Below are 26,718 nucleotides of genomic sequence, written 5' to 3'. Positions count from 1 at the left end.
TCCATAACACATGATTAGTAACCAGGATATATAAAGAAGTCTAAAATAGGAAAAAGATAAAACCCAAATAGAAATGTGGGAATTATATAAACCAGCAATTTGTAGAAATCCCAAACACCAAAAATATATATAAAAAATGTACTCAGGCTAATAATCAGAAACTGAAAATTAAAACAATAAGATACCATCTACACTGCTTAGTTGGCACAAAAAAAGTCTGGGAATAACAACTATCACCAAAAATGGAGAATAAACTACTTACACAGTGCTGGGGAATGTTAATTGGAAAATACTTTGAATGGCATTTGGCCATTGCCTTTTAACATAAGGTAAGAACAATATACTAACCCTATGACCCAGGAATTCTACTCAGAGACTTTCACAATCTGTGGTTCTCCTCTGAACCATAAAACTCAGAACACGTTTTGAGGGATTTTCTCAAATCTCCCAAGGATGTTTCATAGCTGTTCTAGATGCACAGGCAGGTGAGAAGCTAATTCCTACATAGAGTGGGTGACATGGGGCATTAGGGCTTAATTCTCTAGGGAACCCTGGAGGAGGAAGACTGTGAGAGAACGATGTAGAGGGATATTCACACCTCTATTGTTGGAAATAGTCTAAAGTAGAATAACTATGGGACTATCAATAGGATAATTGATATATAGTTTGTAATATATACTTCACCAGAACACTACACAGGCATGCCTCATTCTATCGTGCTTTGCTTTCTTGTGTTTTGCAGATATCACATTGTTTACAAGTTGAAGGTCTGCGGAAACCCTGTGGTGTAATCTACTTCTCAGTGCCATTTTTCCAACAACACATGTTCATTCTTTGTTTCTGTGTCACATTCTGGTAATTTTCACAATCTTTCAAACTTTTTCATTGTTATTATATCTGTTATGGTGATCTGTGATCAGTGACATTTGATATTACTGCAGCAATTATTTTGAGGCAACACAAAAACCATATCCATATAAGATGGCAAATTTAATTGATAAACATTGTATGTGTTCTGACTGATCCATTGACAGGCTCTTCCCTGTCCCTCTCCCTCTCCTTGGGACTCCCTATTCCCCAAGGCACAACAATATTGAAATTAGGCCAATTAATAACCTACGATGAGCTCTAAGTGTTCAGTCAAAAGGAAGAGTCACATATCTCTTACTTGAACTCCAAAGCTAGAAATGATTCAGCTTAGTGAGGAAAGCATGTCAAAAGCCAAAATAAGCTGAAAGCTAAGCCTCTTGCACCAAATAGCCAAGCTGTGAGTGCAAAGGAAAAGTTCTTGAAGGCAATTAAAAGTGCTATTCCAGGGCCAGGTGCAGTGGCTCATGCCTGTAATCCCAGCACTTTGGAAGGCCAAGGTGGCCAGATCATCTGAGGTCAGGAGTTCAAGACCAGCCTGGACAACATGGTGAAACACCATCTCTACTTAAAAAAAAACAAAAAAGTCAGCTGGTCATGGTGGCGGGTGCCTGTAACCCCAGCTACTTGGGAGGCTAAGGCAGGAGAATGGCTTGAACCCGGGAGGTGGAGGTTGCAGTGAGCAGAGATTGTGCCATTGCACTCCAGCCTGGGCAACAAGAGCAAAACTCTGTCTCAAAAAAAAAAAAAAAGTGCTGTTCCAGTGAACACATGAATGATAAGAAAGTAAAACAGCTTTATTACTGATATGAGAAATTTGAGTGGTCTGCATAAAAGATCAAACCAACCACAACATTCCCTTAAGCCAAACCATAATCCAGAGCAACATCCCAGCTCTCTTCAATTCTATGAAGGCTGAGAGAGGTAAAGAAGCTTCAGAAGAAAACTTCCAAGTTGGCAGAGGTGGGTTCCTCCACAACATTAAAGTAAAAGGTGAAGCAGCAAGTACTGATGGAAAAGCGGCAGAAAGTTATCCAGATGATTAGCTAAGATAACTGATGAAGATGGCTACACTAAACAACAGATTTTAAATGTAGATGAAACAGTCTTCTATTAGAAGATGCCATCTAGGACCTTCCTAACTAGAGAGGAGAAGTCAATGCCTGGCTTCAAAGCTTCAAAGGACAGGCTAACTCTCTTGTTAGAAATGAATGCAGGGATCTAGAACTAGAAATACCATTTGACCCAGCCATCCCATTACTGGGTATATACCCAAAGGACTATAAATCATGCTGCTATAAACACACATGCACACGTATGTTTATTGCGGCATTATTCACAATAGCAAAGACTTGGAACCAACCCAAATGTCCAACAATGATAGACTGGATTAAGAAAATGTGGCACATATACACCATGGAATACTATGCAGCCATAAAAAATGATGAGTTCATGTCCTTTGTAGGGACATGGATGAAATTGGAAATCATCATTCTCAGTAAACTATCGCAAGAACAAAAAACCAAACACCGCATATTCTCACTCATAGGTGGAAATTGAACAATGAGATCACATGGACACAGGAAGGGGAATATCACACTCTGGGGACTGTGGTGGGGTGGGGGGAGGGGGGAGGGATAGCATTGGGAGATATACCTAATGCTAGATGACGAGTTAGCGGGTGCAGCGCACCAGCATGGCACATGTATACATATGTAACTAACCTGCACAATGTGCACATGTACCCTAAAACTTAAAGTATAATAAAAAAAATATATATGACAAAAAAAAAAAAAAGAAATGAATGCAATTGGAAACTTTAAGTTAACGCCAATGTTCATTTACCTTTGTGAAAATCCTAGGGCCTTAAACAATTATGCTAAATCGTCTGTGCCTGTGCTCTAGAAATGGAACAACAAAGCCTGGATGATAGCACATCTATTTACAGCATGATTTACTATATATTTTAAGTCCACTGTTGAGATCTACTGCTCAGAAGAAAAGATTCCTCTCAAAATATTACTGCTCATTGACAATGCACCTGGTCACTCACTCAAGCGCTCTGATGGAGATGAAAAAGGACACTTATTTTCATGTCTGCTAACACAATATCCATTCTGTGGCCCCTGAATCAAGGAAGTAATTATGACTTTCAAGCCTTATTACTTAAGAAATACATTTTGTAGGGCTATAGCTGCCATAGACAATGATTCCCTTAATGGATCTGGGCAAAGTAAATTGAAAACCTATCGGAAAGGATTTACCATTCTAGAAACCATTAAGAACATTTCTAATTCACAGGAAGAAGTCAAAATATTCAAATTAACAGCAGTTTGAAAGAAATTGATTCCAACCCACATAGAGGACTTTGAGGGGTTCAGGACTTCAGTGGAAGAAGTCACTGTGTGTGGTAGAAATAGCAAACGAATGAGAATTAGAAGGCGAGGCTGAAGGTATAACTGTTGCAATTTTATGATACAACATAAACAGATAGGGAGTTGCTTCCTTTGGATGAGCACAGAAAGTGGTTTCATGAAATTGAATATCTACTCCCCATGAAGACACTGTAAACACTGGGGTTTTTAGGTGTTTTTTTTTTGTTTTGTTTTGTTTTGGTTTGGTTTTGGCGGGGAGGGACAAGGTCTCACTCTTTTGTTCAGGCTGGAGTATGACGGCACAATCATAACTCACTGCAGCCATGACCTCCTGGACTCAAGGAATACTCCTGCCTCAGCCTCAGTAGCTGGGACTACAGGCATGCATCACCAAGCCCAGCTAATTTTTAAAATTTCTTTGTGGAGACCAGGTCTTATTATGTTGCCCAGGCTGGTCTCCAACTCCTGATCTCAAGCAATCTTCCTGACTTGGCCTCCCAAAGTGCTAAGATTACAGACATGAGCCAGGACACCTGGCCTGTGAACATTGTTGAAATGACAAAAAAGAATTTAAAATCTTAGATAAACTTGGTTGATATAGCAGCAGCAGCAGTTTGAGAAGACTGACTCCATTAAAGAAAAAGTTCTGTTGGTAAAATGCTATCAAACAGCATCATGTGTTACAGAGAAATCATTTGTGAAAGGAAGAATCAGTCATTGTAAAAAACTTCAATGTTCCCTTAAATTTAGAAATTGCCACAGCCACTCCAACCTTCAGCAACCACCATCAAAGCAAGAACCACCACGACAAAAAAATTATGACTTGCTGAAGGCTCAAGTGATATTAGAATTTTCAACAATAAAGTATTTTTAAATTAAGGTATGTATATTTTTTAGACATAATGCTATAGCACACTTAATAGACTATAGTGTAACCATAAGTTTTATATGCACTGAAAAACAAAAATGTCCTATGACTCACCTTTATAGCAGTGGTTTGAAACAGAATCTGCAGTATCTCCAAGGTATGCCTATGTAATAGTTATTAGGAAAAACCCAAGCTAAATGATGTATCAATATGAATATATTTCAAAAATAATGGATCATGAAGAAAGCAAGTCACAGAATATAATACCATTGCTGTAAAAATTAAAAATACATAAAATACTATATTTTAAGTATAGGTACAAATATGTATAGTAAAATTATAAAACACAGGCACAAAACTGATAAGTAGCAAATTCAGAATGAAAGAGGACATTGGGGTTGAGTAGAGGTCTACAGAAAAATTCAACTAAAGGGTAATTAACGTCTATTTCCTTAAGAATCAAATTATGGAAAATATTATGTTAAACTTTCATGGTTGAAACATGGATGCTTGTAGTACTTCTGTTTAAAATAGCTCATACTGATGCCACCTCACACCCACTAGGATGGGCACTATCAAAAATGCAAAAGATAAGTATTAGGGAGGGTGTGGGAAAACTGAAACTCTTGTGCACTGTTGGTGGGAATTTGTAAAACTGGTGAGCTGTAAATTGTACAGCCATGAGGTTTTTCCAAGATGGCCGAATAGAAAACGCTCCAGTCTGCAGCTCCCAGTGAGACCAATTTAGAAGGCCAGTGATTTCTGCATTTCCAACTGAAATACCCGGTTCATCACATTGGGACTGGTTAGACAGTCAGTGTAGCCCATGCAGGGTGAGCAGAAGCAGGGTGGGGTGTCAGCTCACCCGGGAAGTGCAAGGGGCTGGGGACCTCCCTCCCATAGCCAAGGGAAGCCATAAGGGACTCTGCTATCCAGCCCAGATACTATCCTTTTCCCACAGTTTTTTCAACCCACAGACCAGGAGATTCCCTCATGTGCCTGCACCACCAGGGCCCTGGGTTTCAAGCACAAAATAGAGCAGCTATTGGGGAAGACACCGAGCTAGCTGCGGGAGTTTCTTTTCGTATCCCAGTGGCACCTGGAACCCCAGCAAGACAGAACCATTCACTCCCCCTGGAAAGGGGTCTGAAGTCAGGGAGCCAAGTGGTCTTGCTCAGCGGATCCCACCCCATGGAGCCCAGCAAGCTAAGATCCACTGGCTTGAAATACTCGCTGCCAGCAGCACTCTGAATCGACCTGGGACACTCGAGCTTGATGAAGGAAGGGACATCCGCCATTACTGAAACCTGAGTAGGCAGTTTCCCCTCACAGTGTAAACGAAGCTGCCAGAAAGTTTGGACTGGGTGGAACCCACGGCAGTGTGGCAAAGTGGCTGTGGCCAGACTACCTCTCTAGATTCCTCCTCACTGGGCAGGTCATCTCAGAAAGAAAGGCGGCAGCCCCAGTCAGGGGCTTACAGATAAAACTCCGATCTCCCTGGGACAGAGCACCTGGGGGAAGAGGACGGCTATGGGCACACCTTCAGCAGACTTAAACGTTCCTGCCTGCCAGCTCTGAAGAAAGCAGCAGATCTCCCAGCACAGTTCTCGAGCTCTGCTAAGGGATGGACTGCCTCCTCAAGTGGATCCCTGACCCCCGTGCCTCCTGACTGGGAGACACTTCCCAGCAGGGGTCAACAGACACCACATCCAGGAGAGCTCTGGCTGGCATGTGGCAGGTGCCCCTCTGGGATGAAGCTTCCAGAGGAAGGAACAGGCAGCAATCTTTGCTGTTCTGCAGCCTCTGCCAGTGATACCCACAAAAAGAGGGTCTGGAGTAGACCTCCAGCAAATTCCAGCAGACCAGCAATAGAGGGGCCTGACTGTTAGAAGGAAAACTAGCAAATAGGAAGAAATAACATCAACATCAACAAAAAGAACATGCACACAAAACCCCATCTAAAGGTCATGAGCATCAAAGATCAAAGGTAGATAAATCCACAAAGATGGGGAAAAAAAAAAAAAAAAAAAAACAGCAAAAAAATGCTGAAAACTCCAAAAACCAGAACACCTCTTCTCCAAAGGATCACAATTCCTCACCAGCACAGGCACAGAACTGCACAGAGAATGAATATGATGAATTGACAGAAGTAGGATTCAGACAGTGGGTAATAACTAACTCCTCCAAGCTAAAGGAGCATGTCCTAACCCAATATGAGGAAGCTAAGAACCTTGATAAAAGCTTACAGGAACTGCTATATAGAACAACCAGTTTAGAGAAGAACATAAATGACTTGATAGAGCTGAAAAACACAGCAAGAGAACTTCGTGAAGCATACACAAGTATCAATAGCCAAATCCATCAAGCAGAAGAAAGGATATCAGACACTGAAGATCAACTTAATGAAATGAAGCATGAAGACAAGATTAGAGGAAAAAGAATGAAAAGAAATGAATAAAGCCACCAAGAAATATGGGACTATGTGGAAAGACCAAACTGATGTTTGATTGGTGTACCTGAAAGTGACAGAAAGAATGGAACCAAGTTGGAAAATACACTTCAGGATATTATCCAGGAGAACTTCCTCAACCTAGCAATACAGGCCAATATTCAAATTCAGGAAATACAGAGAACACCACTAAGATACTCCTCGAGAAGAGCAACCCCAAGACACATAATCATCAGATTCACCAAGGTTGAAACAAAGGAAAAAATATTCAGGGCAGTCAGAGAGAAAGGTCAGGTTACCTACAAAGGAAGGCCCATCAGACTAACAGTGGATCTCTCTGCAGAAACCCTACAAGCCAGAAGAAAGTGGTGGCCAATATTCAACATTCTTAAAGAAAAGAATTTTCAACTCAGAATTTCATATCCAGGCAAACTAAGCTTCATAAGTGAAGGAGAAATAAAATCCTTTACAGACAAGCAAATGCTGAGAGATATTGTCACCACAAGGCCTGCCTTATAAGATGCTCCTGAAGGAAGCACTAACCACGGAAAGGAACAACCAGTACCAGGTACTGCAAAAATATACCAAAATGTAAAGACCAACGACATTATGAAGAAACTGCATCAATTAATGTGCAAAATAACCAACTAGCATCATGATGACAGGATTAATTCACACATAACAAAATTAACTGCAAATGTAAACTGGCTAAATGCCCCAATTAAAAGACAGAGACTGGGGCAAATTGGAAAAAGAGTCAAGACCCATCGGTGTGCTGTATTCAGGAGACCCGTCTCACATGCAAAGACACACATAGGCTCAAAATAAAGGGATGGAGGAATACTTACCAAGCAAATGGAAAGCAAAAAAAAAAAAACAATGTAGTATAGGTTCATAACATATGTAGAAATAAAATCTCTAATCACAATAGCACAAATGCCAGGAAAGAGATGGAAGTATGCTGTTGGTAAGATTCATACATCATATATAAAGTGATATAATACCACTTGAAGCTAGAAAGTTAAAGGATAAAAACATACATTAATATTATGAACCCTAAAACAACCACTGAGAACACAAAAATAAGAGACAGATAGCTAATACATGAACAAAAAAAAATGGAATCATAAACTATTCAGTGCCAAAAGGAGGCAGTAAAACAGGGAAAACAAAAGAAAAGAAAGAACATGTGGGTTGAATAGAAAATATAGCAAGATGGTAGATTTAAACTAAATTAAATCAGTAATAACATCAAATGTATATGAAAGGCAGAGATTTCAGATGGGATAAAAATATAAGATCTAATTATATATGGCCTATAAGAAGCCTACTTAAAAATCAATAGACAAATAGATGAAAAGGTTAGTATGAAAAGATTATTCCATGCTGAAACTAAGAGAAAGCCAAAGTGGCTCTATTAACAATGAAAAAAGTAGATTTCAAGGAAAAAAGTATTACCAGGGATAAAGAAGTTAATTTCATAATGATAAAGTGGCCAATTCATCAAAATGATAAAACTAAAACTTTATATACCTTACAGAGCTTCAGAATATATGGAGGAAAGGCTGATAAAGTTGACAAAGGAAATAGACAAGTCTGCAATTATAGTCTGATGTTTCAAGCCCTTTCTCAGCTACTGAAAGAACATATAGAGAGAAAATCAGTAAGGGTATAGAATACTTGACAATGCTATCAAACAACTTGACCTATGACATTTGTAGAACACTCCACATAGAAACAGCAGAGTAGACACTGTTTTTAAATAGGCATGAAATGTTTACCAAGACAGACTTTGTTGTGGGTCATAAAACAAGGCTCGATAAATTTAAAAGGATTCAAGTCATCTGTGACATAATAAGAAACATATATATTTGGTCTCTGCCCCCAATTTCTGACACAGAGCTCCTAAAAGCCTTGCACTTTGCTGAGTGATATGGATGCTAGAAGAATCTTTTGTTCTAACATTTGGTTTTGATCCCAGTTCCTGTCACAAAGCTCCTAAATCCCTTGGAATTTCCTGGGTAACAGAAGCATCATTTACTCTAATGACAGACTCTCTTGGTGGTTCCTGGATAGTTTTGGGATAGGCGCTGGTCACTAGGAAGACCAAGTCATGATTAGAAGCTTGGAACTTTCAGCTCCCTCTCTCCCCTTCCTCTGGCGCTGGAGATTGAGTTAATAGTCAGTCATGCCTATGTGACGGAGCCTTATAAAAATTCCTAAAGTATAGGATTCAGAGGGCTTCTGGGTTGGTGAATGCATCCAGGTATCAATAGGGTGGAGCAACCTCTCTCTGTGGGGACACAAGCTCCCACACTCAGGACCCCTCTGGACCTGACTCTATGTACTTCCTCATCCAGCTGTTCATCTGTATCCTTTATAATATCCTTTATAATAAACTGGTAAATGTAAGTAAGATGTTTCCCTGAGTTCTGTGAGCTGTTATTACTTAAGGAGAAGATTGTGAGAACCTCCAATTTGTAGCCAAGTCAGACAGAAGTGTGGGTCACATACACACCTACTACTTGTAGTTGGCACCTAAAGTGAGGGGCAGTCTTGTGAGATTGAGCCCTTAACCTGTATGGTCTGTGCTAACTCTGCATAATTAGTGTTATACTTGAATCAAATTGTAGGACACTCGGGTGGTGTCCACAGAGAAGTGGAGAATTGCTTGGTGTGGAAACCCCACACATGTGGTGTCAGAGGTGTTGTGAGGAGAGGAATAGGGTTTTTTTTTAATCATCCAAAGTATGTTCTCCAACCACATTAGAATTACAAATTAGAGATCAATAACCAGAAAGATCCCTGAGAGGTCCCTAAATATGTGCAAACTAAACAATACACTTCCAAATAACCATGGACCAAAGAAGAAATCAAAAAGGGAAATCTGAAAATATTTTGAACTCAATGAAGATGAAAACCCAATGTGTCAAAATTTGTGGACTGTAACTACAACATATACAGAGAAATTTATGTACTAAACACATACACAATGAAAGAAAGACCTCCAACCAATGACATCAACTAATCAAACCCAGTATAAGCAGAAGAAGAGTCAAAAGAATAGAAATTAGAAAGTGAGGGGAAATGGCAGACAGGAGGCAGGACTAACTTGAGGCTCCCACTCAGATGGACAGAGCAGCTTGTGGAGACACACTGTGAACTTTGGCTCCAAGAACTACTGAAGAACACACCAGGAAAGCTGAGAGAATCCACAGACCCTTTGAAAGAGGTGGCTTGTTGCTGCGGGCTCCATGACACACTGACAAACTATGAGTGTCTAAAGTGTGAAAGGGGAACGACTGCCCCCAAACACACATCCTCACTGGGGAGCCTGAAGAACCAGATCACGGGAGAAGGATTTGACCTTATAGGGAGCTAAGACAAATTTAGAGAGCTGAGCAAAATATAGGGGTAGGGGAAGCAGTGGGAAGAGTTCCGTGGGCACTCTCAGACCCCAGGGAAGCCATTTCTGCTTTTGTCTCTCAGGAGTTCTTGGGGAGGGGTGCCAGAGGAACTGGGGAAAGATCACAGGGAGAAGGAAACTTCCAGCTGAACTTTGAAACAATTTGTGCAGTTTCCTGGACAGAGTCTGGAGAGGAGGTGATCTGGGAGTACAGATAGGCGCACAGAAGCTGCTGCAGGTGGGGAGGCGTGAAACCTGAAAGTCCCGCTTGCTTTCTCAGCAGGGAGGCTTGTAGCCTGGGGCATGTCCCTCTCGTGCTGTTGGGGGGACATGGTGGGAGTGAGACTGGCCTTGCTGGCTGTATGGGCATTGGGTAAGGCCTGTCACTGCCAGCTTTCCCCCAGTCCCCTGGCAACCTGCGTGACCCAGCAGAGGCAGGCATAATCTCCCTGGAATCATAACTCCATTGGCCTGAGAACCACACCCCCATCCTCCACAACAGCCACAGGAAGCCCACCCACCGAGGACAGTCTGGGCTCAGACATGCCTAAATCTGCCCCCACCTGATGGTCTTTCTCTACCCACCCTGGTAGCTGAAGACAAAGAACACCATCTCTTGGGAACTCTATGGCCCTGCCCATCACCAAAGAAACCAAATACTTACCACCCAGGTGGCATTAGGGCAAGCTTGTATCCTCCCTACACTACTGCGGCTGAGACTCTCTTGAAAGCGTCACCTCCTGGCTGGAGGCCAACCAACACTAATCCAGTGCACTAAAAACTACAAACAAGGACTCTCTCAGAGTCCATTTCACTCCCCTGCTATCTCCACTGGAGGAGGTGCTCGTACTCACGGCTGACAGACCTGAAGACAGATGACATCAGAGGACTCTTTGCAGAAACTCCCTAGTACCAGCCTGGAGCCTGGTAGCTCAGCTAGGTGGCTAGACCCAGAAAAAATACAACAATAATTACAGTTCAGCTCTCAGGAAGCCCCATCCCTAGGGGAAGGGAGAACACCACATAAAGCGAGCACCCTGTGGGACAAACGAATCTGAACAACAGCCCTTGAGCCCTAGATCTTCCCTCTGACATAGGGTACCCAAATGAGAAGGAACCAGAAAAACAATTCTGGTAATATGACAAAACAAGATTTTTTAACACTCCCAAAAGATCACACTAGCTCACCAACAATGGAGCCAAACCAAGGAGAAATCTCTGAATGGCCAGAAAAATAATTCAGAAGTTTGAGTATGAAGCTACACATGGAGGCACCAGAGAAAGGTGAATACCAACTTAAAAGAAAACAAAGTTACAGAACATGGATGAAAAAATCTCCAGAGAAATACATAGCATAAATAAATAAAACAAATCACAACTTCTGAAAATGAAGGACACACTTAAAGAAACACAAAATACACTGGAAAGTGTCAACAACAGAATCAAACAAGCAGAAGAAAGAAATTCAGAGCTCGAAGACAAGGCTTTTGAATTAACCCATTCCAACAAAGACAAAGAAAAAAGAATTTTAAAAAATGAACAAAGCCTCCAGGAAGTTTGGGATTATGTTTAATGACCAAACCTAAGAATAATTGGTGATTCTAAGAAAGAAATCTGAAAGTTATGAAAACACATTTGAGGGAATAATCAAGGAAAACTTCCCTGGCCTTGCTAGAGATCTAGATAGCCAAATACAAGAACCTCAAAGAACACCCGCGAAATTTATTGCAAAAAGATAATTGCCTAGGCACCTAGTCATCAGGTTATCTAAAGTGAAGACAAGGAAAGAATCTTAAAAGCTGTGAGGAAAAAGTAACAAGTAACTTATAGAGGAATACCTATCAGATTAACAGCACATTTCTCAGCAGAAACCCTACAAACCAGAAGGGATTGGGGTCCTACCTTTAGCCTTGTTAAACAAAACAATTTGTCAGCCAAGAGTTTTGTATTTCATGAAACTAAGCTTCATAAATGAAAGAAAGATACAGTCTTTTTCAGACAAAGGTTGAGAAAATTTGTCACTACCAAGCCAGCACTACAAGATCTCCTAAAAGGAGTTGTAAATCTTGAGACAAATCCTCAAAATATATAAAAATAGAACCCCCTTAAAGCATAAAACTCACAGGATATATAAAACAATAATGCAATGAAAAAAAAAAACAACAAGGTATTCAGGCAACAACCAACATGATGAATAGAATAGTACCTCACATCTCAACACTGACATTGAATGTAAATGGCCTAAATGTTCCACTTAAAAGATACAGAATGGAAGAATGGATAAGAATTCGCCAACCGAGTATCTGCTCTCTTCAAGAGACTCACCAAACAACATAAGAACTCAAATCAACTTAAGGTAGGGGGTGGAAAAAGATATTCCATGCAAATGGACACCAGAAGTGAGCAGGAGTAGCTATTGTTATATCAAACAAAATAAACTTTAAAGCAAAATGTTAAAAAAGACGAAGAGGAATATTACATAATGATAAAAGGACTAGTCCAAAGGGAAAATATCACAATCCTAAATATACATACACCTAACACTGGAGCTCCCACATTTATAAAACAATTACTAATAGACTTTAAAAAAGAGACAGACAGCAACACAATAATAAGTGGGAGACTTCAGTACCCCAATGACAGCACTAGGCAGGTCATCAAGACAGAAAGTCAACAAAGTAACAATAGACTTAAACTATACCCTAGAAAAAATGGACTTAGATATTTAGAGAACATTCTACCCAGCAACTGCAGAATGTACATTCATCAGCACATGGAACATTCTCCAAGATAGAGTACATGACAGGCCACAAAAGAAGTCTCAATAAATTTCAGAAAATTGAAGTTATATCAAGTACTCTCTCAGACCACAGTGGAATAAAACTAAAAATTACCTCCAAAAGGAACACTCAAAACCATGCAAATACATGGAAATTAAATAACCTGCTCTTGAATGATCATTGGGTCAACAATGAAATCAAGATGGAAATTTAAAAATTCTTTGAACCAAATGATTATAGTGATACGACCTATTAAAACCTTTCGGATACAACAAAACCAGCATTAAGAGGAAAGAAAGTTCGGAGCACTAAATACCTGCATCAAAAAGTTGAAAGAGGACAGTCTGAGGTCACAACTCGAGAAACTAGAGAAACAAACAAACAAAAAAAACCAAACACAAATGCAGCAGAAGAAAAGAAATAACAAAGATCAGAGCAGAACTAAAGAAAATTGAGATAAAAATAAACAAAAGATAAAAGAAACAAAAAGCTTGTTCTTTGAAAAGATAAACAAAATTGATAGACCATTAGCAAGAGGAACCAAGAAAAGAAGAGAAAAGATCCAAATAAACTCGATTAGAAACAAAAGAAGAGATACTATAACTGATACCACAGAAATACAAAAGATCATTGCAGGCTACTATGAACACCTTTACATGCACAAAGTAGAAAACCTAGAGGAGATGGATAAATTGCTGGAAATATAAAACCTTCCTAGATTAAACCAGGCAGGAAGAAATTAAAATTCCAAAAAGACCAGTAATAAGCAGCAAGACTGAAATGATAATAAAAAAATTGCCAAGAAGAAAAAGTTCAGGACCAGATGAGTTCACAGTTGAATTCTATGAGAAATTCAAAGAAGAATTGGTACCAATCCTATTGACACTATTTCAAAAGACAGAAAAAGAGGGAATCCTCCCTAAATCATTCTATGAAGCCAGTATCACCCTAATACTAAAACCAGGAAAGAACATCACACACAAAAAAGAAAATTACAGACCAATCTCCATAATGAACATAGATGCAAAAATCCTCAACAAAATACTAGCTAATGGAATCCAACAGCAAATAAAAAAGGTAATCCACCATGATCAAGTGGGATTCATACTAGGGATGCAGGGATGGTTTAATATACGCAAGTCAATAAATGTGATACACCACATAAACAGAATTAAAAACAAAAATAACATGATCATCTCAATAGACACAGAAAAAGCATTTGACAAAATCCACCATCCCTTTATATTAAAACCCTCAGCAAAATTAGCATAGAAAGGATACACTTTAAGTTAATAAAAGCCATCTATGACAGTCCCACAGCCAACATTATACTGAATGGGGAAAAGCTAAAAGCATTCCCTCTGAGAACTGGAACCAGTCAAGGATGCCCACTTTCACCACTTCTATTCAACAAAGCACTGGAAGTCCTAGCCAGAGTAATCAGACAAGAGAAAGAAATAAAGGGCATCCAAATCAGTAAAGAAGAAGTGAAACTGTCGCTGTTCACCAATGATATAATGGTATACCTAGAAACCCTAAAGCCTCATCCTAAAAGCTCCTAGAACTGATAAATGAATTCAGCAGTTTCACAATACAAAATCAACATACACAAATCAGTAGCACTGCTATACACCAACAGCAACCAAGCTGACAATCAATTAAAGAACTCAACCCCTTTTACAATAGCTGCAAAACAAAGAAACAAACAAACAAAAAACACTTAGGAGTATATTACACCTAACCAAGGGGGTGAAAGACCTCTACAAAGAAAACTATAAAACACTGCCGAAAAAAATCACAGATGACACAAACAAATGGAAATACATGCCATGCTCATGAATGGGTAGAATCAATATTGTGAAAATGACCACACTGCCAAAAGCAATCTACAAATTTAATGCAATTCCCATCAAAATACCGCCATCATTCTTCAAAGAACTAGAAAAACAATTCTAAAATTCATATAGAACCAAAAAAGAGTCCATATAGCCAAAGCAAGGCTAAGCAAAAAGAACAAATCTGGAGGCAACACATTACCTGACTTCAAACTATACTATAAGGATACAGTCACCAAAACAGCATGGTACTGATATGAAAATAGGTTCACAGACCAATGGAACAGAATAGAGAACCCAGAAATAAAGCCTACTACCTACAGTCAACTGATCTTCAACAACGGAAACAAAAATATAAAGTGGAGAAAGGACACCCTATTCAACAAATGGTGCTGAGATAACTGGCAAGCCGCATGCAGAAGAATGAAACTGGATCCTCATCTCTCACCTTATAAAAAAATCAACTCAAGATGGATTAAAGACTTAAATCTAAGATCTGAAACCATAAAAATTCTAGAAGATAATATCAGAAAAACCCTTCTAGACATTGGCTTAGGCAAGGATTTTATGACTACGAACCCAAAAGCAAATTCAAGAAAAACAGAGATAAATAGTTGGGGCTGAATTAAACTAAAAAGCTTCTGCACCGTAAAAGCAATAATCAGCAGAGTGAACAGACAACCCACAGAGTGGGAGAAAATCTTTGAAAACTATGCATCTGACAAAGGACTGATATCCAGAATCTATGAGAAACTCAAATCAGCAAGAAGAAAACAAATAATCCCATCAAGAGTGGGCTAAAGACATGAATAGACAATTCTCAATTCTCAAATATAAAAATAGCCAACAAACATATGCAAAAATGTTCATCATCACTAATCATCAGGAAGATGCAAATAAAAACCATAATGCAATACCACCTTACTCCAGCAAGAACGGCCATAATCAAAAAATCTAAAAACAATAGAAGTTGGTGGGAGTGTGGTGAAAAGGGAACACTTGTATATTGCTGATGGGAATGTAAACTAGTACAAACCACTATGGAAAACAGTGTGGAGACTCCTTAAAGAACTAAAAGTAGAACTACCATTTGATCCAGCAATCCCACTACTGGGTATCTACCCAGAGGAAAACAAATCATTATATGAAAAAGATACTTGAACACACATGTTTATGACAGCAGAATTCGCAATTGCAAAAATATGGAATCATCCCAAATGTCCATCAGTTAACAAGTAGATAAAGAAAATATGGTACAAACATACTATGGAATGCTAATCTGCCTTAAAAAGAAATGAAATAATGGCATTCACAGCAACCTAGGTGAAGTTGGAGACCATTATTCTAAGTGAAGTAACTCAGAAATGGAAAACTAAACATTGCATGTTCTCACTCATAAGTGGGAGTTAAGCTATGAGGATGCAAAGGCATAAGAATGATACAATGCACTCTGGGGACTTTGGGGAATGGGTGGGAAGTGAGTGAGGGATGAAAGACTACACACTGGGTGCAGTGTACACTGCTTGGGTAAAGGGTGCACCAAAACCTCAGAAATCACAACGAAAGAACTTATACATGTAATTAAACATTACCTTTCCCCAAAAAAATACTGAAATAATTAAAAAAATAAACAAAAGCGAAAAGAGAGAAATGACATTAATGTTCAGAGACAGACAATCTATTCATGGATGTATGAAGGCTGGAAATTTTAGGAAATCCACATAAAATCAACATTGCCTGTGCTAAAACAAAACCTGACAACTCTCCATTTTCTTAGGAGCAAAATTGCAAAAAGTGACATTATCATCCATCCTAGAAGAATGAAACACACATCACCTTTACTGTATGAGTAAATGATTTGTTTTTCTTTGAAAGAGCATCCAAGTTTATTGTGTTCATTTTCACACTGATCAAAGAGAACACCCTTCTGTTAACAGGTACCTTCAGTTTTCAGGACCAGGCAGAAATTCTGTCTTCTACCTTTAAAGGTCAATCACAAAATTAAAGGCAGCTGCTAGGCCCCTCTGATGGTCCCTCTGACTGGGACCATCAGTGGGAAGGAGGGAGGCTTGAGCTTCCCTGGTCCCCCAGATCATCTGGGTAGTGCCCCCACTGCAGCTGCACCCCATGATGTCCCCGATTTGGCGAGGCACTGGCCTGGCCCATGAGGGACCCTATGGCCAGCAGGTGCCCAGCGAGCGATGCTTTGCGCGCTTTTAGTGTTCTGAGGCCAATGGTCACGAAGCTGTGTACACGTGGTCCCGGCTGCAGACTTCGGAAACTTCTGGAAGCTGAATTTCTAAGGGAACGTTCCGACTACTACACTGCTGTCATGGGCGGCTACCTGAGCTGGTTTCTGGGCTGGCCCCAGGCCAGGGTGCTGCCCTGAGCCCAGAAACATTGGGCCCTGTGGTCCAGGCCCATCCTCCGCTCCCAGGTTAAGGATGGCTGCAAAGTCATCTATCTCAATGGGAAGTGCTGGGTCTCCACCCAGCCCCTTCCCAAGGCTCCTCCTGGCTGGGACTATGCCCATATCCAGAGAGAGATGGTCCCAGAGGCCTGGAGGTGCTTTCCAAACAGGCCACCGCTCCTGAGCATCACTGGGTGGGACTTTTCCGAGGCTCACCTGGCCTACATGAAGCAGCGGCTTTGGAAGGCTTGGCAACCCCGGCCCATCCGCAGCCTGGTGACCATGAAAATCATTTAGCTCATATAAGAATTACAGAAAGAAAAGGTAGGGTGGCTGGCAAGATGGCCGAATAGAAGCAGCTCCAGTCATGGCCGGGCATGGTGGTTAATGCCTGTAATCCTAACACTTTGGGAGACCGAGGCAGGCAGATCACAAAGTCAGGAGTTTGAGACCAGCCTGGCCAATATGGCAAAACCCCGTCTCTACTAAAAATACAAAAAGTAGCCAGGCGTGGTGGCGGGCACCTGTAGTCCCAGCTACTTTGGAGGCTGAGGCAGGAGAATCACCTGAAACTGGGAGGTGGAGGTTGCAATGAGCCAAGATCATGCCACTGCACTCCAGCCTGGGTGACCGAGCGAGACCCCGTGTCAGACAAAAAAAAAAAAAGTAACAGCTTCGGTAACTCCCAGCAAGATCAATGCAGAGGGTGGGTGATTTCTGCCATTTCCAACTTAGGTACAAGGCTCATCTCACTGGGACTGGTTAGACACTGGATGCAGCCCATGGGGGGTGAGATGAAGCAGGGTGGGGTGCTGCCTCACCTGAGAAGTGCTAGTGGGTCTAAGAACTACCTCCCCTAGCCAAGGGAAGCCATGAGGGACTGTACCGTGAGTAACAGTGCATTCCAGCCCAGATACTATGCTTTTCCCATGGTCTTCACAACCCACAGACCAGGAGATTCCCTTGGGTGCCTATGCCACCAGGGCCCTGGATTTGAAGCACAAAATTGTGCAGCCATTTGGTAGACACTGAGCTAGCTGCAGGAGTTTTTTTTTTTTTTTTTTTTCATACCCCAGTGGTAATTGGAACATCAGCGAGACAAAACCATTCACTCCCCTGGAAAGGGGGCTGAAGCCAGGGAGCCAAGTGGTCTTGCTCAGTGGGACCCACCCCCACGGAGCCCAGCAAGCTAAGATCCACTGGCTTGAAATTCTCGCTGCCAGCACAGCAGTCTGAAGTCAATGTGGGATGCTGGAGCTTGGTGGAGAAAGGGGTATCCACCATTACTGAGGCTTGAGTAGGTGGTTTTCCCCTCACAGTGTAAACAAAGCTGCTGGGAAGTTCAAACTGGGCGGAGCCCACCTCAGTGCCACAAAGCCGCCATAGCCAGACTGCCTCTCTAGATTCCTCCTCTCTGGGCAGGGCATCTCTGAAAGAAAGGCAGCAGCCACAGTCAGGGGCTTATAGATAGAATTCCCGTCTCCCTGAGACAGAGCATCTGCGGAAAGGGGCAGCTGTGGGTGCAGCTTCAGTAGACTTAAACGTTGTTCCTGTCTGCCAGCTCTGAAGATTGCAGCAGATTTCCCAGCACAGTGCTTGAGCTCTGCTAAGGGACAGACTGCTTCCTCAGGGGGTCCCTGACCCCCGTGCCTCCTGTACTGGGAGATACCTCCCAGCAGGGGTCAACAGACACCTCATAAAGGAGAGCTCCGGCTGGCATCTGGCAGGTGCCCTTCTGGGACAAACCTTCCAGAGGAAGGAACAGGCAGCAATCTTTGCTGTTCTGCAGCCTCCGCTGGTGATACCCAGGCAAACAGGGTCTGGAGTGGATCTCCAGCAAACTCTAGCAGACCTGCAGTAGAGGGGCCTGACTGTTAGAAGGAAAACTAACAAACAGAAAGGAATAGCATAACATTAACAAAAAGGAAGTCCACACAAAAACCCCATCAGAAAATCACCAACATCAAAGACCAAAGGTAGATAATCCATGAAGATGAGGAAAAACCAGCGCAAAAAGGCTGAAAATTCCAAAAACCAGAATGCCTCTTCTCCTCCAAAGGATCACAACTCCTCGCCAGCAAGGGAACAAAACTGGATGGAGAACGAGTTTGACAAACCAACAGAAGGAGGCTTCAGAAGGTGTGTAATACCAATGTCCTATGAGCTAAAGAAGCATGTTGTAATCCAAGGCAAGGAAGCTAAGAACCTTGAAAAAAGGTGAGAGGAATTGCTAACTGGAATAACCAGTTTAAAGAAGAACACAAATGATCTGATGGAGCTGAAAAACATAGCATATGAACTTCATGAAACATACATAAGTTTCAAAAGCTAAATCGATCAAGCAGGAAAAAGGATATCAGAGATTGAAGATCAATTTAATGAAGTACAGCATGAAGACAAGATTAGAGAAAAAAGAATGAGAAGTAATGAACAAAGCCACCAAGAAATATGGGACTATGTGAAAAGACCAAACCAATGTTTGATTGGTGTACCTGAAAGTGATGGGGAGAATGGAACCAAGGTGGAAAACACTCTTCAGGATATTATTCAGGAGAACTTCCTCAATCTAGCAAGACAGGCCAACATTCAAATTCAGGAAATACAGAGAACACCACTAAGATACTCCTCGAGAAGAGCAACCCCAAGACACATAATCGTCAGATTCACCAAGGTTGAAATGAAAGAAAGAATGTTAAGGGCAGCCGGAGACAAAGGTCAGGTTACCCACAAAGGGAAGCCCATCAGACTAACAGCAGATCTCTCCGCAGAAACCATACAAGCCAGAAGAGAGTGGGGGCCAATATTCAACATTCCTAAAGAAAGGAATTTTCAACCCAGAATTTCATATCCAGCCGAACTAAGCTTCAAAAGTGAAGGAGAAATAAAATCCTTTACAGACGAGCAAATGCTGAGAGATTTTATCATCACCAGGCCTGCCTTACAAGAGCTCCTGAAGGAAGCATTAAACATGGAAAGGAACAACCACTACCAGCTACAGCAAAAACATACCAAATTGTAAAGACCACTGACACCATGAAGAGACTGCATCAACTGGCAGAATAACCAGCTAGCATCATAATGACAGGATCAAATTCACACATAACCATATTAACCATAAATGTAAATGGGCTAAATGCCCCAATTAAAAGACACAGACTGATAAATTGGATAAAGAGTCAAGACTCATTGGTGTGCTGTATTCAGACCCATCTTGTGTGCAAAGACACACACAGGCTCAAAACAAAAAAATTGAGGAATTTTTACCAAGCAAATGGAAAGAAAAAAAAAAACAGGGGTTGCATTCCTAGCCTATGACAAAACAGACTTTAAACCAACAAAGATCAAAAAAGGCAAAGAAGGGCATTACATAGTGATAAAGGGATCAATGCAACAAGAAGAGCTAACTATTCTAAACATATATGCACCCAATACAGGAGCACCCAGATTCATAAAGCAAGTTCTTAGTGACCTACAAAGAAACTTAGACTCCCACACAATAATAGTGGGAGACTTTGATACCCCACTGTCAATATTAGACAGATCAATGAGAAAGAAAATTAACAAGAATATTCAGGACTTGAACTCAGCTCTGGACCAAGCAGACCTAATAGACATCCACAGAACTCTCCACCCAAAATTAACAGAATATACATTCTTCTCTGCACCACATCACATTTATTCTAAAATTGACTACTTAATTGGAAGTAAAACGCTCCTCAGAAAATGGAAAAGAATGTAAATCCTAACCAACAGTCTCTCAGGCCACAGTGCAATCAAATTAGAACTCGGGATTAAGAAACTGACTCCAGTCCAGGCATGTGGCTCACGCTTGTAATCTCTGCACTTTGGGAGGCTGTAGTGTGCAGATCACCTGAGGTTGGGTATTCGAGACCAGCCTGACCAACATGGAGAATCCCTGTCCCTACTAAAAATACAAAATTAACTGGGCATGGTGGTGTGTGCCTGTAATTCCCACTACTTGGGAGGCTAAGGCAGAAGAATCGCTTGAACCCAGGAAATGGAGGGTGCAGTGAGCTGAGATCACACCATTATATTCCAGCCTGGGCAACAAGAGCAAAACTCCATCTCAAAAAAAAAAAAAAAACAGAAAAAGAAACTCACTCAAAACCACACAACTATATAAAAACTGAACAACCTGCTCCTGAATGACTACTGGGTAAATAACGAAATTAAGGCAGAAATAAATAAGTTCTTAAAAACTAATAAGAACAAAGCCACAACATACCAGAATCTCTGGGACACAGCTAAAGCAGTGTTTAGAGCGAAATTTATAGCACTAAATGCCCACAGAGGAAAGCAGGAAAGATCTAAAATCGACACCCTAACATCACAATTAAAAGACCTCGAGAAGCAAGAGTAAACAAATTCAAAAGCTAGCAGAAGACAAGAAATAACTAAGATCAGAGCAGAACTGAAGGAGACAGAGACACGAAAAAACCTTAAAAAAAAGTCAATGAATCCAGAAGCTGGTTTTTTGAAAAGATTAATAAAATAGACAGACCACTAGCCAGAATAATAAAGAAGAAAAGAGAGAAGAATTAAATAGACACGATAAAAAATGATAAAGCAGATATCACCACTGATCCCACAGAAATACAAACTACTATCCGAGAATACTCACCTCTACACAAATAAACTCAAAAGTCTAGAAGAAATGGATAAATTCCTGGGCACAAACACCCCTCCCAAGACTAAACCAGGAAGAAGTCAAATCCCCGAATAGACCAAAAACAAGTTCTGAAATTGAGGCAGTAATTAATAGCCTACCAAAGATAAAAGGCCCAGGACAGGATGGATTCACAGCCAAATTCTAACAGAGGCACAAAGAGGAGCTGGTACCATTCCTTCTGAAACTATTCCAAACAACAGAAAAAAAACAGGACTCCTCCCTAACTCATTTTATGAGGCCAGCATCATCCTGATACCAAAACCTGGCAGAGACACAACAAAAAAAGAAAATTTCAGGCCCATATCCCTGATGAACATCAATGAGAAAATCCTCAATAAAATACTGGCAAACTGAACCCCACAGAACATCAAAAAGCTTATCCACCATGATCAACTCGGCTTTATCCCTGGGATGCAAGGCTGGTTCAACATATGCAAATCAATAAACCTAATCCATCACATAAACAGAGCCGATGACAAAAACCACATGATTATCTCAATAAATGCAGAAAAGGCCTTTGATAAAATTCAACAGCCCTTCATGCTAAAAACTCTCAATAAACTAAGTATTTATGGAACATATCTCAAAATACTATGAGCTATTTATGATAAACCCACAACCAATATCACACTGAATGGGCAAAAGCTGGAAGCATTTCCTTTGAAAACCAGCACAAGACAAAGATCCCCTCTCTCACCACTCCTATTCAACATAGTATTGGAAGGTTACTGCAGCCTTGTAGTATAGTTTCAAGTCAGGTAGCATGATGTCTCCAGCTTTGTTCTTTTTGCTTAGGATTGTCTTGGCTATATGGCTCTTTTTTGTTTCCATATGAAATTTGAAAGTATTTCCCTAGCCAGGGCAATCAGGCAAGAGAAAGAAATAAAGGATATCTGAACAGGAAGAGAGGAAGTCAAAATGTCTCTGCAGATGATATGATTGTATATTTAGAAAACCCCATCATCTCAGCCCCAAATATCCTTAAGCTGATAAGCAACTTCACCAAAGTCTCAGGATACATAATCAATGTGCAAAAATCACAAGCGTTCCTATACATCAATAATAGACAAACAGAGAGCCAAATCATGAGTGAACTCCCATTCACAATTGCTACAAAGAGAAAAAAATACCTAGGAAGACAACTTACAAGGGATGTGAAGAACTTCTTCAAGGAGAACTACAAACCACTGCTCAATGAAATGAGAGGACACAAACAAATGGAAAAACATTCCATGCTCATGGATAGGAAGAATCAATTTCATGAAAATGGCCATACTTTCCAAAGTAATTTATAGATTCAATGCTATCCCCACCAAGCTACCATTGACTTTCTTCACAGAATTAGAAAAAACTACTTTAAATTTCATATGGAACTAAAAAAAAGCCCAGATAGCCAAGACAATCCTAAGCAAAAAGAACAAAGCTGGAGGCATCACACTACTGACTTCAAACTATACTACAAGGCTACAGTAACCAAAACAGCATGGTACTGGTATCAAAACAGACATATAGACCAATGGAACAGAACAGAGGCCTCAGAAATAATGCCACACATCTACAACCATCTGGTCTTTGAGAAACCTGACAAAAACAAGCAATGGGGAAAGGATTCCCTATTTAATAAATAGTGTTGGGAAAACTGGGTAGCCATATGCAGAAAACTGAAACCAGACCCCTTCCTTACACCTTATACAAAAATTAACTCAAGATGGATTATAGACTTAAACCTAAGACCTTAACCCATAAAAGAACCTAGAAGAAAACCTAGGCAATACCATTCAGGACATAGGCATGGGCAAAAACTTCATGACTAAAACACCAAAAGCAATGGCAACAAAAGCCAAAATTGACAGATGGGATCTAATTAAACTAAAGAGCTTCTGCACAGCGAAAGAACTATCATTCAAGTGAACAGGCAACCTATAGAACGGAAGAAAATTTTTGCATGGGAGAATGTTTTTGCAATCTATTTATCTGACAAAGGGCTAATATCCAGAATCTACAAGAAACTTAAACAAATTTACAAGAAACAAACCCATCAAAAATGGGCAAAGGATATGAACAGGAACTTCTAAAAAGAAGACACTTATGCAGCCAACAAACATATGAAAAAACGCTCATCATCACTGGTCATTAGAGAAATGCAAATCAAAACCACAATGAGATACCATCTCACGCCAGTTGGAATGGCAATCATTAACAAGTCAGGAAACAACAGATGCTGGAGAGGATGTGGAGAAGTAGGAACGCTTTTACACTGTCGGTGGGAGTGTGAATTAGTTCAACTATTGTGGAACAGTGTGGTGATTCCTCAAGGATTCAGAACCAGAAATACCATTTGACCCAGCGATCCCATTACTGAGTATATACCCAAAGAATCATTCTACTATAAAGATACATGCACACGTATGTTTATTGCTGCACTATTCACAATAGCAAAGACTTGGAACCAACCCAAATGCCCACCAATGATAGACTGGATAAAGAAAATGTGGCACATATACACCATGGAATACTATGCAGCCATAAAAAGATGTGTTTATGTCCTTTGCAGGGACATGGATGAAGCTGGAAACCATCATTCTCAGCAAACTAACACAGGAACAGAAAACCAACCACCGCATGTTCTCACTCATAAGTGGGAGTTGAATAATGAGAACACATGGACAAAGGGAGGGGAACATCACACACTGGGGCCTGTCCAGGGGATGGGGGGCAAGGGGAGGGATATCATTAGGACAAATACCTAACGAATGGAGGGATTAAAATCCAGATGATGGGTTGATGGGTGCGGCAAACCACCATGGTACATGTATACCTATGTAACAAACCTACACATTCTGCACATGTATCCCAGAAGTTAAAGTATAATAAAAAAAATTGTACACCCACTGTAGAAAATACTATGGTGATTGCTCAAAAAATTAAAAACAGAACTACCATATAGTCCAGTAATCCCACTTCTGGGTATATGCCCCAAAGAGCTATTAATACAAGCAGGAACTGAAACAGATATTTGTAGACTCATGTTAATAGCAGCCTTATTCGAAATAGCCAAGATGTGAAAGCAACTCAAGTGTCCACAGATGAAAGGATAAGCAAATTGTGGTATATACACATGATGGATTATTATTCAATCTTAAAATGGAAAGAAATTTTGCCATATGCTGCAGTATGGATAAAACTTAGAGACATCACGCTAAATGAAATAAGCCAGACACACAACAAACAAATACTGTATGTTCCACTCTATGAGTAGTCAAAATCATGAAGACATAGTAGCATGGTGGTTGCCAGGGAGTGGAGGAGGAGGCAATGAAAGGTTAGTGTTTCATGTGTAAAAGGTTTCAGTTCTGCAAGATGAAAATAGTTCTGGAGATGGATGATGGTGATGGCTGCACAACATTATGAATGTACTTAATGCTACTGAACTGAACACTTAAAAATGGTTAAGATAGTAAATTTGATGTTATGTGCATTTTCCCACAGTCAAAAAAAAAATTGAGGAAAAATATTAATATTTTTAAAAATCTGAGATTAAAGAAACTAATAAAATGTAGGTCTGCACATTTTTCTGGACCTGTAGTAGTTGCAGGCAGATCCCTGAGGTCAGGAGTTCGAGACCAGCCTGGTCAACGTGGTGAAACCCCCGTCTCTACTAAAACTGCAAAAATTAGCTGGGTGTGGTGGCAGGTGCCTGTAATCCCAGCTACTCGGGAGGCTGAGGTAGGAGAATTGCTTGAACCCAGCAGACAGAGGTTGCAGTGAGCTGAGATCGCGCCACTGCACTCCCACCTCGGCGACAGAGCGAGACTCCATCTCAAAAAAAAAAAAAAAATCTGCAGTAGTTTAGTCCTGTGTCATTGCAATTTGATTTTTCTGACAGCCTCTGTGATTCTGGGCTTGCACCTCTCAAATCCATCCTCCCCAATGTTGCCAGGGTGATCTCTTTAAAACATAAACTTGATCGCATCAGTCCTTCTTCAAAGTCCCTGCTTCAGGCTCCACAGCAGGCACACAGGCTTTCTGTGATGAAGCCCAGAAATTCATGAGGCTGGATATAGCCTCATTTTCCAGTTTCCCCAAATCATTTACTGCTCCCAAAAATACCAATTTCTTTTTGTCTCTTGCACACATCACACTGGTTTTTGCTTCTGTGTTACTGCTGAGATTGTTTCCCCTCATGAAACACTCTTCTAACAACAACCCTGGCCTCAGCTTCACCACTATGACTCCCTGACTGGCCCAGGCTGGGTGGGGCGCCCTTCCCTTGGCCTCCACAGGGCGTCTGGCTTTCCTTTCTTTTGGTGCTTGACACTCTCTGCATCTTTCAACATGAGCCGGAAGGACTGTGATGTACTGACTACTGTAGCTCTTTTTTTTTTTTTTTTTTTTTTCAGAATTAAGTTTTAATCTGTGATGGAATGCACATATATAAGCTTGAATTATTTTAACATTAAATGTGTTAAATTTCAAACTAGTCTACAAAAACACATAACTACGAAAATAGCTAATACATTCATGTGCACAGAAAAAATGGAGGAAAATATACCAAAATGTTAAAATTAATCATCTGTCATTTAGGAAATAGAATTTTTTAGCCATTTTTATTTTCTTCTTGATAACCTTTCTATAATATCCAAGTTTCCTACACTAAACCTGTATTACTTTTATTTTATTTTATTTTATTATTATTATACTTTAAGTTTTAGGGTACATGTGCACAATGTGCAGGTTAGTTACATATGTATACATGTGCCATGCTGGTGTGCTGCACCCATTAACTCGTCATTTAGCGTTAGGTATATCTCCTAATGCTATCCCTACCCCCTCCCCCCACCCCACAACAGTCCCGAGTGTGATGTTCCCCTTCCTGTGTCCATGTGTTCTCATTGTTCAATTCCCACCTGTGAGTGAGAATATGTGGTGTTTGGTTTTTTGTTCTTGCGATAGTTTACTGAGAATGATGATTTCCAATTTCATCCATGTCCCTACAAAGGACATGAACTCATCATTTTTTATGGCTGCATAGTATTCC

General features: G+C 40.6%; 1 protein-coding gene across 13 annotated transcripts in view, besides 1 other annotated feature; it reads right to left on the bottom strand.

The window, feature by feature from the left end:
* MTUS2 (microtubule associated scaffold protein 2) overlaps window positions 1-26,718 on the bottom strand; it is a 685,985-nt gene that overhangs the window by 284,331 nt on the left and 374,936 nt on the right. The window lies entirely within an intron of this gene.
* Window positions 9,836-10,335: an enhancer, noted in NCBI's record as "H3K4me1 hESC enhancer chr13:29785419-29785918 (GRCh37/hg19 assembly coordinates)". NCBI's record gives its function as "activates a minimal SCP1, AML or CMV promoter by ChIP-STARR-seq in primed H9 embryonic stem cells {active_cell/tissue: H9 hESC(primed)}" and the evidence as "EXISTENCE:reporter gene assay evidence [ECO:0000049][PMID:30033119]".

Source organism: Homo sapiens, chromosome 13, assembly GCF_000001405.40.
Source record: "Homo sapiens chromosome 13, GRCh38.p14 Primary Assembly".
NCBI classification, from domain to species: Eukaryota; Metazoa; Chordata; class Mammalia; order Primates; family Hominidae; genus Homo; species Homo sapiens.
This window is presented reverse-complemented; position numbering and strand designations above follow the sequence as displayed.